General features: G+C 58.8%; 3 protein-coding genes across 9 annotated transcripts in view, besides 3 other annotated features; all 3 read left to right on the top strand.

The window, feature by feature from the left end:
* Nucleotides 1–16,815, top strand: part of LMF1 (lipase maturation factor 1) — a 127,980-nt gene that overhangs the window by 70,687 nt on the left and 40,478 nt on the right. The gene's annotated exons all lie outside the window — the stretch shown is intronic.
* On the top strand, nt 3–11,915 carry LOC124903619 (peptidyl-prolyl cis-trans isomerase CYP95-like). The gene has a single exon (XM_047434995.1). The coding sequence runs from the start codon at nt 5,428–5,430 to the stop codon at nt 7,210–7,212; it is 1,785 nt and encodes a 594-aa protein (XP_047290951.1). The 5' UTR covers nt 3–5,427; the 3' UTR covers nt 7,213–11,915.
* Nucleotides 7,273–8,361, top strand: LOC107984876 (uncharacterized). Its single transcript, XM_047434996.1, has one exon. The coding sequence runs from the start codon at nt 7,273–7,275 to the stop codon at nt 8,359–8,361; it is 1,089 nt and encodes a 362-aa protein (XP_047290952.1).
* Nucleotides 8,135–8,852: an enhancer, noted in NCBI's record as "H3K27ac-H3K4me1 hESC enhancer chr16:952075-952792 (GRCh37/hg19 assembly coordinates)". NCBI's record gives its function as "activates a minimal SCP1, AML or CMV promoter by ChIP-STARR-seq in naive H9 embryonic stem cells {active_cell/tissue: H9 hESC(naive)}" and the evidence as "EXISTENCE:reporter gene assay evidence [ECO:0000049][PMID:30033119]".
* Nucleotides 8,853–9,571: an enhancer, noted in NCBI's record as "H3K27ac-H3K4me1 hESC enhancer chr16:951356-952074 (GRCh37/hg19 assembly coordinates)". NCBI's record gives its function as "activates a minimal SCP1, AML or CMV promoter by ChIP-STARR-seq in naive H9 embryonic stem cells {active_cell/tissue: H9 hESC(naive)}" and the evidence as "EXISTENCE:reporter gene assay evidence [ECO:0000049][PMID:30033119]".
* Nucleotides 14,617–14,836: a silencer, noted in NCBI's record as "fragment chr16:946091-946310 (GRCh37/hg19 assembly coordinates)". NCBI's record gives its function as "represses an EF-1alpha promoter that drives an FKBP-Casp9 reporter gene in an ReSE screen in K562 erythroleukemia cells {active_cell/tissue: K562}" and the evidence as "EXISTENCE:reporter gene assay evidence [ECO:0000049][PMID:32094911]".

The raw sequence follows: 16,815 nt of genomic DNA, 5'->3' as shown, positions 1-16,815 counted from the left end.
GTGGAGCTCTTCTGCGTGGTGTTTGGGGAATAACGGTGGCTCTTCTAACCTGTGAGGCTTCTAGGAGAGGTGAGGCTGTTTCCTTCCTCCCCCGCCGCCCTCTGTCCTCCTGTCGGCCTGGCCTGGCCAGCTGCGCACTCTTCTGCCCCTTCAGGGGCCTGTGTTTGAATGCTGGGGACCGGCTGGCTTTTCCCGGGCATGCTCATGATCCCTGTTTCTGGGACAGAACCACACCTCTGAGTCTGTTTCAGGAGGAGACTCAGAGAGGAGCACTGGACGCCCTGCTTCCCCCACCAGCCCTCCTGAGCTTCCCCCACCAGCCCTCCTTTGCTTCCCGGAGTGTCCGAAATATTTCAGAGCTCGTTTTTAAATGACAGAGTCTCAGGCCATGGTGGGCGCGTTGGCAGACATATTCAAGGGTGAGGGAGGTATGAGACCCGCCGTCCTGACGCTCAGGGAAAGCGCGGCCTCCTCATGGTCTCTTGGCTGCGTCCTTCCTCCCGGGTGCTTTGCCTGCTTGGCTTTGACGTCTCTCAGGACGACCAGACTGTCCAGGTTCCCTGCTGAGCCCCGGGGTGGGGGTGGCGGGTTCCCTCCTGGGCCCTGGTGTGGGGGCGGCGGGCTGTGCGTGCTTCCTGCCCAGCCAGGGGCTGCTCATCTGCGTCTGCCCTGCAAACGGTGAATCACATGCCAACCCCCTGTTCAGCTTCAGTAATGTGACCTCTGAGTTCACAAAAACACGATGTGCACTTTAAAAGCAGGAGCGACGTGGTCCTTTTGACGTCTGCCACACTGACCAGAGCTACGCAGCTCTCACCTGCTCTTCCGCTTCACGTGGTTTGGTAGTAAGATTTTCATTTTGGGCTGGAATGATAAAATCTTCATGTTTTTGTGTTGGAAACCATGTCGTACAGATATGCTCTCTGAGCATCTGTTTGCTTAAGTGTTTCGTGGAGGATTCGCTGAAGACGTACGAAGAGTTGGGCACTGCCCCAAGGAACTTGTGCCTGCCCCACCCGACAGCGCGCTCACGCCAGGGCCACGGCCAGAGTGTGCCGCCGTCTCGGCCACTCCTTCAGTCCGGAACGTTCCTCTTCTCTCCCTGGCCTCGAGGCGTGGCTGCCGTGCCTGTGTTCAGCTTCAGGTCATGCCGCAGGCAGGGGCCCGAGTGCTGGGCGGCTCCTCCCACCCTGTCCCCCCGGGGCAGCTGCGGACACTTGGGACACCCAGTCCTAAGACAGCACTGGCCACGGACTCAGGAAGCGATGACTCCACGTGGTTTGGGGTATCATGTAGCATGAAGTGTGGCTCGGTGTAGCGTGTAGCATGGTTCAGTGTAGTGTGTAGCGTGGCTTGCTGTAGCGTGTAGCATGGTTCTGCATAGCGTGGCTTGGTATAGCGTGTAGCGTGGCTCTGTGTAGCGTGGCTCAGTATAGCGCATAGCGTGGTTCTGTGTGGCGTGGCTCGCTGTAGCGCATAGCGTGGTTCTGTGTGGCGTGGCTTGGTGTAGTGTTTAGTGTGCTTTGGTGCACTGTGAGGGGCTGTCTGGGCCCATTCCTCACCGTGTGTTCCCTGCATCGTAACGTCCATGTCTGGGCATAGCTCTTCTTTCCATCTCGTTCAGCTCGGGGCTCTGTCCCCCTGTGGCTCCCATCTTCCCCAGCGCCCTCCTTTTCCCTCCCCCTCACTCACATCCCTGCGTCTCACCTTGCGCCAGCCCTTAGCCAGTGCTGCAGAAACGTCAGCCATGCATGGAGTGAACTGGCCATTTCTTGAGGTGCTCCCTGGTGGTATGCGAGCACCTAATTCCCTTTATTCCTTTTCTGGGAGGGTTACATGGCCTCTCATGATGAGCACTTGCCGGGGTTGGGAGGGGTCACTGCAGGCTCAGCTGCACTAGCAGGAGACCCACAGAGAGGGACCTCAACACCAGGGCCCCTCTCACCCCCCAGGACAAGGTGTCCAGAGGGTTGTCCCAGGCAGGGAGCCTCCAGCTTTCCTCTCTGCCCTCTGTGGCATGCCAGCTTCAACCCAGGTGTTCCTGCCCCAGCCGCACGGGGGTGGTGGGCACCCGTCCGCAATGTCACTGCATACCTGTGGATGGCGGGCACCGGGGCATCCCTGACAGGTTGGTTTTCTGGGGCTGTGGGGAGTCTTGGGTGCTTACTCTAGGTCCTCACTGTTTTTACTGTGTGAACCCTGCGGGCTGGCTCCGCCTCCCAGGAGCCGCTCCCGCATGCTGCAGCCTGGTGACCTCTGGGCTGGTGAGCTCAGCCTCTGTCCACGAGGCCAGGTGTCTGGGGAGGGCACTGGAAGCAGCTGGAGGCAGCAGGGCCTGACCTGCCCCATCCCCTCGAGGGCACGAGCAGGCCCCCAGGGCTTGTCAAGGGCCAGGGCCTTCCCATCTCTGCCTCCTTGCCTGGTCGGGTGTGCTCGGGGCCATGGCACAGCGGGAGGGAAACATGGGTGGGTGGGGTCTTTGGAGAGCTTTCTGGACGTGGTGTCGGGCAGGGTCCTGGCTGAGGGGTGCGTGAGTGGCTGCAGACAGTTGGCCATGGCTTGTTGGAGGAGGGCATAGCTGCAACCCGGCATCCAGATCGCGCAGGAAAGTGGGATGCTGTCTCCGGGTTTACTTTTCCATTTAATTAGAAATACTAGAGATGTTTCCATGGCTCCTTTTAATGGAACATTGAAATTCTTCATTGTCTCCAGCCAGAATACAGATATTCTCACAGGCTGTGGGTCCTGATCTTTCCAGGGCTTAGTTTTAGGTTCCACCCTCTGCTGGCTTGAATATGCACAGATGTGGATGCAGCATTTCCAAGGACTCTGTGGACAGCAGCCGGGTGGGGGAAGCGCTGTCAGGCCGAAGCCCTGGGAGAGAAGCAGAGCTCCAGGGAGAGGAGCCGGCCCCGCAGAGGAGCCGCCAGGCGGTTGTATGCAAAGCTCCTGGTGCCAAGAGTTGAACAGCTCCCACAATGCCTAGTGGATGCAGGGACTCATCTGCTCATGGGAAGCACCTTTTATGGCATTTTGATTGATTGCTAGTGCCAGCTGGAGAAGAAATTATCAGGTGCACTAAAAGGTATAATTACTTGATAGACTCCTGTGTTGGGTGTGATTAATGTTCCTTTGGTGGAAAGCAGAGGGTGAGTTGATAAGAAAGTGACAGCAGCAGAGTGTCCACCTGCTGATGAACCACCCTGTGGACAGAGCCGGCTAGGAAGGCACGCACACCCCTTCCCCCGCTCGCGCACTTGGGTCACAACCAGCGCCGCACCGTCAGCTTGGCGGATTCACTCAGAAACCAGCACCTGTGGTTCTGTGGCCTGGAGGGTTTCAGATGCCCTAACCACTGGGTTCCTCAGAGCCATCTCAGGGGGAGCCCCGTGGCCCTCCCGATGAGGGTGCCAAGCAGAAGGGAAGGAGAAGCCACAGCCTCTGTGCCCGCCGGAGCTGGACGTCAGCTGCAGGCCTCAAGGCCACCACACAAAATCAGTTGTATTTCTTTTTTTTTTTTCTTTTTGAGATGGAGTCTCGCCTTGTCACCCAGGCTGGAGTGTAGTGGCACGATCTCGGCTCACTGCAAGCTCTGCCTCCTGGGTTCACGCCATTCTCCTGCCTCAGCCTCCCGAGTAGCTGGGACTACAGGAACCTGCCATCACGCCTGGCTGATTTTTTGTATTTTTAGTAGAGACTAGGTTTCACCGTGTTAGCCGGGATGGTCTCGACCTCCTGACCTTGTGATCCACCTGCCTCAGCCTCCCAAAGTGCTGGGATTACAGGCGTGAGCCACCACACCTGGCAAATCAGTTATATTTCTATATGCTGGGAGAAAATGTCAAAATGAAAATGTTAAGTATAGCATTTATAATAACATTCAGAACCATAAAATAGGAAATTTTAACAAAAGAAATGCAGCCTGTATGCCTCGAAAGATAGCACACATTGCTGAAAGTAAGGAACACTTCAGTAAATGGAGAGGTATACCATGTTCATGAATCAGTCTTCATATTGTTAAACTGTCCATCGTCACCAATTTGAGCTATAGATTCCATGACATCCCAAGCAATCCCAGAAGGATTGTTTTTTCCAGAAACAGATAAACTGACTCTTAGATGTATATGGAAATGCCAAGGACCTACATAGCCAAAACAATTTTGAAGAAGAATAAAGATGCAGGAGGAGTCACACTACTTGATTCCAGGATTTACTGAAAAATGATCGTAATGAAGACAGTGTGACACAGGTGTGTGGAGGGTTCCCTCGAGGGACAGAACTAACAGGAGAAATATATATATAAAGGGGTTTATTGAGTATTAACTCCACGATCACAAGTCCCCACGATAGGTTGCCCGCAAGCTGAGGAGCAAGGAGAGCCGGTCCCGAGTCTCAGAACGGAAGAACCTGGAGTCCCATGTTTGAGGGCAGGAGGCGTCCAGCACAGAAGAAAGATGCGGGCTGGGAGGGTAGGCCCGTCTCCCCTCTTCTCCTTTTTCTGCCTGCTTTATATTCTCTGGCGGCTGATGAGATGGTGCCCACCAGATTAAGCTTGGGTCCGCCTTCCCCAGCCCCCTGACCCAAACAGGAATCTCCTCTGGCAACACCCTCACAGACACACCCAGGATCAGTACTTTGCATCCTTCAACCCAATCAAGCTGACACTCAGTATTAACCATCACAAGGCGTGAGGACAGATAGCTGCATCCGCAAAATAGAGAACCAAGAAATAGTCCCACACCAAAGTCAGGATCAAATGATTCCTGGACAAGCCACCAAGTCAATTCAACTGAGAGAAAGAAGCCTTTGCACCAGTTGGTGCTGGAAGTTCTGGATATGCACCTGGATAAGTGAACCCCCCTCCGTCACCACACACAAACGTTAATTTGAGATGGATTGCAAACATAAAAGCTAAAACCATTAACACTTCTTGAAGGTAACATAGAATATTTTGTAATGTTATGATAGGCAAAAGTCTCTTAGGACACACAAAAAAATTAACCATAAAAGAAGAAAATGGCTGGGTGCAGTGGCTCACACCTTTAACACCAGCATGTTAGGAGGCTGAGGCAGGAGCGTCCCTTGAGCTCAGGAGTTCAAGCCCAGACTGGGCAACATAGTGAGACCCTGAAAGAAAAAGAAACAAACACATACATTGGACTTCCTCAAAATTAAAGTCTTCTGTTCTTCAAAAGACACCACCGAGAAAATGACAAGGCACAGATCAGGAGAAAATATTCACAATGCCATTATGCCTGACAAGGAACCTGTATCTGGAATACATAAAGAATTCATAAAGTTCAATAATAAAGATAATTTGATTTTTTAAAGAGGGAAAGGATTTTAGCAGGCACTTCACAAAAGGAAACATGCAAATGGCTCTCACGGCACTTGAAAAATCCCTCAGATGCACTGGCTATTAGGGAAATGCTGAGCGTATCTACATTGAGACAATTCCTCCCCCCAAGAACAGCTGAAATTAAACTGAGATACTTCCTCCTCACAAGAACGGCAGTGCAGAAGTCACCACCACACAGCAGAGACGGGCGTCCTGTGGGCAGTGCAGAGTTCACCACCACGCAGCAGAGACGGGCGTCCTGTGGGCAGTGCAGAGGTCACCACCACGCAGCAGAGACAGGCGTCCCCACGGGCAGTGCAGAGGTCACCACCATGCAGCAGAGACAGGCATCCTGTGGGCGGTGCAGAGGTCACCACCACGCAGCAGAGACAGGTGTCCTGTGGGCGGTGCAGAGGTCACCACCACGCAGCAGAGACAGGCGTCCTGTGGGCAGTGCAGAGGTCACCACCACGCAGCAGAGACAGGCGTCCTCACAGGCAGTGCAGAGGTCACCACCACGCAGCAGAGACAGGCGTCCCCACGGGCAGTGCAGAGGTCACCACCACACAGCAGAGACAGGCGTCCTGTGGGCGGTGCAGAGGTCACCACCACGCAGCAGAGACAGGCGTCCTGTGGGCGATGCAGAGGTCACCCCACGCAGCAGAGACAGGCGTCCTGTGGGCGATGCAGAGGTCACCACCACGCAGCAGAGACGGCCGTCCCCACAGGCAGTGCAGAGGTCACCACCACGCAGCAGAGACAGGCGTCCCCACGGGCAGTGCAGAGGTCACCACCACACAGCAGAGACAGGCGTCCTGTGGGCGGTGCAGAGGTCACCACCACGCAGCAGAGACAGGCGTCCTGTGGGCGATGCAGAGGTCACCCCACGCAGCAGAGACAGGCGTCCTGTGGGCGATGCAGAGGTCACCACCACACAGCAGAGACGGGCGTCCCCACAGGCAGTGCAGAGGTCACCACCACGCAGCAGAGACAGGCGTCCCCACGGGCAGTGCAAAGGTCACCACCACACAGCAGAGATAGGCGTCCTGTGGGCGATGCAGAGGTCACCACCACGCAGCAGAGACAGGCGTCCTGTGGGCGGTGCAGAGGTCACCACCACGCAGCAGAGACGGGCGTCCCCACAGGCAGTGCAGAGGTCACCACCACGCAGCAGAGACAGGCGTCCTGTGGGCGATGCAGAGGTCACCCCACGCAGCAGAGACAGGCGTCCTGTGGGCGATGCAGAGGTCACCACCACGCAGCAGAGACAGGCGTCCCCACAGGCAGTGCAGAGGTCACCACCACACATCAGAGACAGGCGTCCTGTGGGCGATGCAGAGGTCACCACGACGCAGCAGAGACAGGCGTCCTGTGGGCGATGCAGAGGTCACCACCACGCAGCAGAGACAGGCGTCCTGTGGGCGATGCAGAGGTCACCACCACGCAGCAGAGACAGGCGTCCCCACAGGCAGTGCAGAGGTCACCACCACACAGCAGAGACAGGCGTCCCCACAGGCAGTGCAGAGGTCACCACCACGCAGCAGAGACAGGCGTCCCCACGGGCAGTGCAAAGGTCACCACCACACAGCAGAGACAGGCGTCCTGTGGGCAGTGCAGAGGTCACCACCACACAGCAGAGACAGGCGTCCTGTGGGCAGTGCAGAGGTCACCACCACGCAGCAGAGACAGGCGTCCTGTGGGCGATGCAGAGGTCACCCCACGCAGCAGAGACAGGCGTCCTGTGGGCGATGCAGAGGTCACCACCACACAGCAGAGACGGGCGTCCCCACAGGCAGTGCAGAGGTCACCACCACGCAGCAGAGACAGGCGTCCCCACGGGCAGTGCAAAGGTCACCACCACACAGCAGAGATAGGCGTCCTGTGGGCGATGCAGAGGTCACCACCACGCAGCAGAGACAGGCGTCCTGTGGGCGATGCAGAGGTCACCACCACGCAGCAGAGACAGGCGTCCTGTGGGCGATGCAGAGGTCACCACCACGCAGCAGAGACGGGCGTCCCCACAGGCAGTGCAGAGGTCACCACCACACAGCAGAGACAGGCGTCCCCACGGGCAGTGCAGAGGTCACCACCACGCAGCAGAGACAGGCGTCCCCACGGGCAGTGCAGAGGTCACCACCACACAGCAGAGACAGGCGTCCTGTGGGCAGTGCAGAGGTCACCACCACGCAGCAGAGACAGGCGTCCTGTGGGCAGTGCAGAGGTCACCACCACGCAGCAGAGACGGGCGTCCCCACAGGCAGTGCAGAGGTCACCACCACACAGCAGAGACAGGAGTCCTGTGGGCAGTGCAGAGGTCACCACCACGCAGCAGAGACAGGCGTCCTGTGGGCAGTGCAGAGGTCACCACCACGCAGCAGAGACAGGCGTCCTGTGGGCAGTGCAGAGGTCACCACCACGCAGCAGAGACGGGCGTCCCCACAGGCAGTGCAGAGGTCACCACCACACAGCAGAGACAGGAGTCCTGTGGGCAGTGCAGAGGTCACCACCACGCAGCAGAGACGGGCGTCCCCACAGGCAGTGCAGAGGTCACCACCACACAGCAGAGACAGGCGTCCCCACAGGCAGTGCAGAGGTCACCACCACGCAGCAGAGACAGGCGTCCCCACGGGCAGTGCAGAGGTCACCACCACACAGCAGAGACAGGCATCCTGTGGGCAGTGCAGAGGTCACCACCACGCAGCAGAGACAGGCGTCCTGTGGGCAGTGCAGAGGTCACCACCACGCAGCAGAGACGGGCGTCCCCACAGGCAGTGCAGAGGTCACCACCACACAGCAGAGACAGGAGTCCTGTGGGCAGTGCAGAGGTCACCACCACGCAGCAGAGACAGGCGTCCTGTGGGCAGTGCAGAGGTCACCACCACGCAGCAGAGACGGGCGTCCCCACAGGCAGTGCAGAGGTCACCCCACACAGCAGAGACAGGCGTCCTGTGGGCGATGCAGAGGTCACCACCACGCAGCAGAGACGGGCGTCCCCACAGGCAGTGCAGAGGTCACCACACTGAGCCAGACTGTCCTCGGCCTTCCCTGGGTTGAGCACCGGATGAAAACCATGTGCTTTGAGCCCTGGAAAGACAATCAGCCCAGCCAGAGCCAGAGCCTGAAACAGGCAGCCCCCAGGGCGCAGCTGCAGGAAGCCGCATCCTCTCGTGGGCTCCAGCAAGGCGGGGGACGCTGTGTTCCCTCAGTGGCTTCTTGGTGCCCCTTGATGTCCAGGAGTGTGAGGTGAGGTGAGGGCTCTGAGCTGGGAAGCTGACAAGTCAGGGAGAATGCCAGGCCAGACGCATCGGCCTGCGGGGGCTGGAGCAGAGCCTGGCACTCACTGTACTTGCTCCGTCTCACTCCGGCTGCTGCGCTGGCCCAGGGCTGTCCACCCCAGGCGTGTGGCAGAGCAAGCCTGGCTCCCAGAGCTCCCCTCAGGCCCTGGAGCGGCAGGCAGTGGGCATCCTCAGCCCAACCCATGTCCGTGCCATGCACAGGATAGCTGAGCTTGCCGCTGCCACAGGGTGTCAGCGGGTTGGGGCAACAGACAGGGCCCCAGTGCTGGTGGCCAGGCTGGCTGTATGTGTGGGTTGGCTGCCACCTGACTGCACTGAAACAAGAACCACCCCCACCCCACCCCCCACTGCTCTCCACCCGGTTCGGGGCCGGCCCTGGCTGGGCTTCGTGGATCCTCAGGTTGTGCGGGTCATGGCTTCCTGGGGCTGGGCCAGAGCCATCATGGAGTCAGCACGGTTCCTTGCAGACACAGGCGGGGCAGGCGGCGCCTCTCCACCTTCCTTGCCTCAAGCTGCGGGGACAGCACCAAAAAGCCACGTGGACCCAGATGGCCTCGCCGGACTTCCTGACTCAGGGCTGTCTCCAGCCTACATCCCACCGGGGCTGCACGCACAGACGGCTTCTCCTGGAGCCCTGGAGCATTTCCCCCGTGTTTCGGCCAGGTTTTCTGCTTTAAATGAGTTTATTTCAGTCGTGTCAAAGTGAAGGTCTCTTTCACTCAGGACGTGATCAATGGCGTGGCCATCAAGTCACAGCGTTGAAGGCAACAGATGGCCTTTAATGACGCTATTTTAAAAAATAATTTCCCCTTTCTTTCCCCATCCTGGTTTTGTGAGGACAGAGCATCGGCATCTCAGGGCGGGGGTGGGTCTGCCTACTCTGTGGCCAGCACGCAGCAGATCCCTGTAGGTGGAGCCCCACAGCTCTGTGTCCCGGCACCTCTGTGCCACCTGCACAGGGGCAGAGGGTGGGTTTTCCGTGACGCCCCCTGGAGCCAAACCACCGTTGATCACTTCCTCCTGATGAACTGGGCTGTGTTGGGGTGCAGAGGTCTCGGTTGCGTATGTTCTGGGAATTGAGCCAGGGTCCTTGTTGCTGGGAATTCTCAGACCTGGACAATATCAGTAGAGGAGACCACTTGATTTTTAGTTTGACCCCTGGAGAATTGAAAAGCTGGAAATCTGTTTTCTGTACCTTCCCCCTCCCAACCCTCCCCCGACTCCCTACCTGGCTTCTGTCTGGAGAGGACGTCTGCATGGCTGTCCTGGGGTGGCTGCAGGTGTGCAGATGCTCACCGCCACTGTCTCCCCATTCCTGCTGGAGCCCACTTTGGTGTGAGTGTTTGCCTGGCAGAGGCATCGCAGGCCCACGGGAGGATAAAGAGAAGCCAGAGAACTCATAATTCCAAAAGCTGGCAAAGTTAAAACGTGATGTCTGGCCGGGTGCAGTGGCTCACACCTGTAATCCCAGCACTTTGGGAGGCTGAGATGGGCAGATCACCTGAGGTCAGGAGTTCGAGACCAGCCTGGCCAACATGGTGAAATCCCGTCTGTACTAAAACACACACACACACACACACACACACACACACACACACACACACACACACATAAAAATTAGCAGGTATGCTGGCGGGCGCCTGTAATTCCAGTTATTCAGGAGGCTGAGGCAGGAGAATTGCTTGAACCTGGGAGGCGGAGGTTGCAGTGAGCCAAGATCGTGCCATTGCACTCCAGCCTGGGCAACAGAGTGAGACTCCAGCTCAAAAAAATAAAAGAAAAGAAAAAAGAAAAGAAAATAATAAAATAAATAAAATAAGATGTCCAAACTCACACCTGTGCAGCTTACGGCTCTGCGAGGCTCACACCTGTGTGGCTCATGGCTCTGGAGGGCTCACACCTGGCTACAGCACCCAGAGGTAGGGCCTTCTGATGCTCCTTGTGTGCAAACTGTCTTGGTCCTCATTAACACAAGAAGAAAAAGCAACGGCTGAAATGTGGAATACGTAAGCCCACAGTGTGAACCATTTTGGGGTCAGAATCGAGCAAAGGCCAGGAAGCCATAGCCAGGCTGTGTGATTGCAGGCACCGTGGAAACTCCAGTAACTAAGATGGCACCATGAAGAGCTGCCTGGGATGTTACAGAAGCCTTAGGCCAGTCAGTGTGACAACTTAGATGAGATGGACAAAACCCTTGAAGAAGGGTGCGGGGGAGTGCCGGGTGCAGTGACTTCTTTACTCAAGGAAAGCCAGGATTTGGGACGCGTGTCGGAGCTGAGCCCCACATCTCTCTTTACACCCAGACCTGCTCACCTTTTGTGGGATTCAGGCCCGAGTGTGCGGCATCGTGCAGTGGAGCCTCCGACCCTCACGGGCACGGCACATCCGGCGTCCAGGGCGTGTGCCTCCCACGTGTGTGCTGCCACCCCAAGCCTCGTGGGGTCGGAAGGAAGGTGCCAGGGGCTCAACAGGTTTGCGCCTTCGTCATCTGCTCTTTTCCCACAGGCCCAGGACTGTCTGCAAAGCGCTTTACGCCGAGCATGCTTCACCCCCGAGCCTGCCAGAGGGTCCGCAGCCCATGGGAGGTGTGGGTCATGGGCGGCGCTGAAAGGCAGACGTGGAGCGGTGCTGCCGACATCAAGACCTGACTTTGAAGTCCACAGGCTGCTGCTTGGCATCAGAGCCACTGATGAAATCACATTAAACGTAATGGAATTGGTATCGGCATGCAGCCCTGTGAGGCCAGGATCAGGCAGATGTGCTGCCGTTTCCCTGACAGGCCCGCCCTGGTCCTGGGCAGCCACACTCCAGAACGAGAGTAATTATCCTAATTGCTTTATTGCATCAGTGTGGGGGCAGCTCGGGTAGCTCAGAGGAAAAGGGGCTTCTTTCAGGGCCCATCGGCTTCAGGGCGACATGCTCCACCCGGAAGGGGCAGACCTCTGACTCCGGCACGGAGGCGTCGTGGGAATTTTTAGAAAATGATATCTATGGCATCCTGATCTCTGGCCCCCAGCTGCAGCCCCCTGTGAGGCCGAGGCCCAGACCGGAGTCCCTGAAAGCGCTTTGTGCCTCCGACCTCCGGCGTTTTTGGCAGAGCTGGGGCAGGAGCCGGGGTGCTCCTCGCGGCTGAAGCGCATCAGCCTCCAGGGCGAGGGTGTCTCAGATCCCCGCACAGCCCGTCACACAGCCCCTGGGACAATCACACAGGACAGTGCTCTCCTGTGATCTTCAAAGGATCTCCTGGGTTGTGGGGGTGCAAAATAAAACTCTGCTACAAAGAGCATTAGTAATTCCTCTTCCCAACCGCACAGTTCAGCTCAAGCGATCTCCCGGTAACAGAACCAGCCCCTGTGCTTACCGTGAACACGCCTTTCTGGGTTCACGCCGAAGGTTTCTATTGAAGTGCACGTCGTTTGCCAAAAAATAAAAATAAAAATACAGTAAGTCCAAAATCTGCTCTGTCTGATTTCTAAGTTAAAACCGTGATCACAGCAAGAGGAATTTACATGGTATGGTGACTAGGGCAGCAACTTCTGGAAGGCAAACCAATCCCGTCAGAGAGATAGGCGGCTGAGAGTCTACAGCAGACCTGTGCTTCGGAGATGAACTGCCCTCCTCTTAATTCCCCTCGCCCGACTAAGCTGCCAAGGCCTGGTGATTCTTGGGGTCTTCATGGTGTCTGGTGACCTGACAGCATGTGCCCCAAATCCTGGCCCCTACACGGCCTGGCTGCCACCCCTTGGCTCTGCCCCCACCTGGGCTGCTCCAGGCCCCAGCAGCCAAGGCCTCAAGGACACCCAGAGCCGGGGGAAGGAGCAGTTCAGGTGTTTTCAGACAGACAAGCCTCTGAGAACAGGCCTTAGATCCCGGAAGCCCAGGCTCTCCCGGCTGGCATTGGTCAGAAAGTCAGTGCCCCTGCCCGCAGCGTGGGTCCCCTAGGCTCTGCGGCGGCCCGACTGTCAGCTTGGGACAGCCTTTTCCAGGTGCTTGGGGAGGAAACAGCTGCCCTCAAACTCATGGGAATTCACTTCCAGGCAGCAAGCGAGCCCAGGGCGTTTGTCCAGGTCCAGGTCCCTTGGTCTGCAAGTTAGAGCCCAGCCAGTGTCGATGAGCCAGTCAGCTGCGTGTCTGAGGGAAGAGCTTTGTCCTCAATGTGAAGCCACGGGGGACCTGGGTCCCCTTCATCAGGAGCCATGGAGACCCTGGCCCACCTCACTTTGATGCTCAGCCCACTGTTCTGAGGCATGAAGTGGCCCAGAGGCGAGGCCCCTCCTCCAGAGGACGCCCGCCACGCAGAAGGCGCCCACCACGCAGAGGATGCCTGCCATGTACACAGCTCCTGGTGCAGCTGTGCCACAAGGAAGTCTGCGTGAGCTGAAGCACTCGGGGGCGGAGCCCACCTCCCATGCCAGTTCTCTCTTGCATGAGGGCAAGAAAGTGCGGAAACCATCCCAGGAAGACAGGAAAGCCACGGAGCCAGGCGGGACCCCAGGCACCACCCCTGCTGCAGCTGGGCCACCCTCAGATATGGAGACTAGAGGGTCTTGATAGACCCCATAGTGCCTCTGCCCACGGAGCCCACCAGCGGTCCCTTCACCCTGAGACACGGTTTCCACCCACCCCCAGCTCTCAGAGCACTCGGGGAGAAGCAGTGGCTGTTGCAACAAGTCTGAGACCCCTGCAGCTGCTCACAGGGGCACTGGGCTGTGACCTGACTCCAGGACAAAGCTCTCCCCTTTGAGTCTCTCCTGCGGAGGCAGGACCTGTCGCGAGTAATTCCCTGTGTTTACAGGTGGGGAGGAAGGGCCACTGATACAGGCGAGGGGACCCTAACGCCAGAAGGATGGAGGAGGTTGTGGCTCGGAGGGAGGCCTGGCGGCGCCCCCTCCTCAAACACCACGTTAGCCGGTGCTTTCGGGGACTGTAGGGGCTGGGGGTCTGTCCTGAGCCACTGTGCAAGGGTACACAGGGGGCTGTCGCTGCAGGGTGGATGGCGGCCTCTGGGGGCCAAGTGAGAGAAGCGGGGTCTCCACAGAGTGTCTCCTTCTCCGCATACGACCGTCAAGACACTTCGAGTTTCCAGATGGCAGATTTGGGGAAGTGTGTCCCAGGACACACAGGCATCAGGAGAAGAGCTGCTGCAGCCACACGTTGCAAGGCGGGAACATCGTCGATGGGCCTGGAAAGTTCTGGCATTCCGAGCAGAGCGGGAGGGTGGCACGGGCAGTGTGGGTCCCCGGCTCCCTTTGGGTCTGGTGCGTTTATTGGCCTGTCTGTGCCATTTTTTTTTTTAGAATTAATTTTGGGCTGAAAAGCCTCAAAGAAGGCTTTGTTCCTTTGACACTTGCTCTGGGAGAAAAAAAAATCCGTGGAAAATCTGACATGTGCAATGTAGAGAGAAATCAATAGATGGGAGGAATATAATTATCCTCCACTCCTGAAAGAATTTTTCAGATTTTTAAGTGTCTCATATCAGCTTAGAATTTGAATGACATTTTAATTATTTTGTTTTTTTCTTCTTTTCCTGGTTTGAATCTCCATAGAGTTCCACTCTCGGATTCTGCAGGGAGCAGAGCTGGTGCTCATGCGGGGGGAGCAGTGGCGGTGGTTGTGCCCCTGCCCGGTGGAGCCGTGCATTTCATCAGAAGCAGCAGCTCCCCTGGGTGTGGGCAGCGCCTTGAGGAGTGGGGCCTTCTCCGCCCGGTCAGCTGGACACCCTCGGCTGTTTTCATGCCTGTTTGCAGAACAGGAGCCCAAGCGGGAAACAGTCTCCGGTGCTTTTGTGATCTGAGCAAACCCAGCCTCCAGAAGACCTGACTCTCAGTTTTTAAAACAGTTCACCCTTCAGGTCTTTAAACAGTAACACTCCCGGGTGTTCGGCGCCCTCCCTGTCGTTGGGGGCACAGGGCATGTGAGGGCAGGGACGTACAGCAAGACCCTAGAGACGGCGATGCCGGACCCAGACATGGCCCCGCCAGAGGCAGCCTTCACAGTGCGCGGGGTGGCTGAGCCTCACAACCCCTCCGAGGCGTGTGTGTGGACCGTGCAGCCTGCGTGTGGGTGGCTGAGCCTCACAACCCCTCCAAGGCGTGTCTGTGGACCGTGCAGCCTGCGTGTGGGTGGCTGAGCCTCACAACCCCTCCGAGGCGTGTGTGTGGACCGTGCAGCCTGCGTGTGGGTGGCTGAGCCTCACAACCCCTCCGAGGCGTGTGTGTGGACCGTGCAGCCTGCGTGTGGGTGGCTGAGCCTCACAACCCCTCCGAGGCGTGTCTGTGGACCGTGCAGCCTGCGTGTGGGTGGCTGAGCCTCACAACCCCTCCGAGGCGTGTCTGTGGACCGTGCAGCCTGCGTGTGGGTGGCTGAGCCTCACAACCCCTCCGAGGCGTGTCTGTGGACCGTGCAGCCTGCGTGTGGGTGGCTGAGCCTCACAACCCCTCCGAGGCGTGTGTGTGGACCGTGCAGCCTGCATGTGGGTGGTGTCCCGTCTGGCTCACGTGACGTGAGGAACAGGGTGCCTGTTGCTTGGTGTTCCTGTAGGGCCGGGCTGGGCTCTTGGTCCCACTCCCCTGCCGTTTCTCATTCGTGTCCCTCTCGGCATCGGTCACTTGAGCCACGTGCCGTCCTTCAGGGCGCGGTGCAGCCTCTCCTGGCTCTCCCACTCCCCCGCCAGTCTCGCGAGCCCCATGTTCCAAACACGTTGGAATTGGACACGCCCCTCCCCTGCCCAGGTCGTCCTGCACAGACAGCAGCAGAGCCTGCTGCCTTCTCGGTCACATGTAGCCAGAGAACCCGGCGGCTCCCGTCCTGCCTGGCCCCGGCTAGGGGCCCACGGCCGCCCCGAAGGCCCTCCCGTGTGTGGTTGGTTTTCTGTTGGCCTGGCTGGCCTGGGGTCCCTGGTCCATCACCAAACACTGGCCTCCGTGCTACTGGGAGGTATTAATGTTTCGCAGACGTGGCTACAGCCCGTGATGGGCTGACCTGGGGAGGAGGATTCTACTGGGAGCCCGAGGCTGACCCGACCAGGCAGGAGACCGAGGCTGGAGCTGGGGCTCCCTGGAGAGGAGGAAATTCCATCCCAACAGCAGCTCCGGCCCCTGCTCTGGAGGTCCTGATGGCCCCGGCAGGCCTCAGGCCGCACCCCCCGCCGTCTGGAGGCCAGTCTCCCGCAGTGGGACCGCGACTGGCGCCGTGGCAGATGGGACCCTGCGTTCCAGGGGCTCCTGGGCCTCCCCCCGCGGCCTCCTCAGCCCTGCTGTACCCCACGCTTCTGCCTGAGGGGGGCGCCCTCACCCTGTCTTCCTCCCTCGTGGCCATCCCCACCCCGCCCCGGGGCTCCCTGCCCAGGACAGCCCTGTCAGCTCTGTCCGGGCCGAGGCTGGCCTCCGCTGTGAACAGATCGTGTTCCCCGAATTCCATTTCGTGTGGAAACCCTGAGCCCAGTGTCATGGTACCAGGAGCCAGGCCCGACACCCCAGCACGCCCACGGAGGGGAGCACTCGCTGATGGGAGGCGGCCATTACGAAAGTGTCCCCAGAGAGACCCTCACCCTCTTCCCACCGTGTGGGCAACAGTGAGACAGCGCTACCTGCAGCCCAGTGCGGCTGCCCCAGAGCCCACCATGCTACACCCACCACAGCCATCGCCTCCGAACCTGCAGCATGGATTCCTGTCCTTTATGTGCCACTGCGTCTGCCACGACTGGTGGCCGTCCTTCCTCTCTGCGCCTTGTCGCACCTGCGCCTGCAGCATGCGGCCTCTATGGGGTGGAGCAGGGCCCGGCACCTCAAGGGCACTCAGTACTTATGTGCCAGGTAGAAGTCGGGTGGACAGGGGGATGGGTGGGCGGACGGCCAGGTGGACAGGGGATGAGTCGACGGACGGTCCAGTGGACAGGGGACAGGTGGGCGGATGGCCAGGTGGACGGGGGGACAGGTGGGCGGACGGTCCGGTGGACAGGGGGACGGGTGGGTGGACGATCCGGTGGACAGGGGATGGGTGGGCGCACTGCCAGGTGGACAGGGGGACAGGTGGGCGGACGGTCCAGTGGACAGGGGGACGGGTGGGCGGACAGTCCAGTGGACAGGGGGACGGGTGGGCGGACAGTCCAGTGGACAGGGGGACGGGTGGGCGGACGGTCCGGTGGACAGGGGACGGGTGGGCAGACGGTCCGGTGGACAG

This window comes from Homo sapiens, chromosome 16, assembly GCF_000001405.40.
Source record: "Homo sapiens chromosome 16, GRCh38.p14 Primary Assembly".
Lineage (NCBI taxonomy): Eukaryota > Metazoa > Chordata > Mammalia > Primates > Hominidae > Homo > Homo sapiens.
Note: the sequence above shows the minus strand (reverse complement) of the source record. Positions and strands in the feature narration are given on the sequence as shown.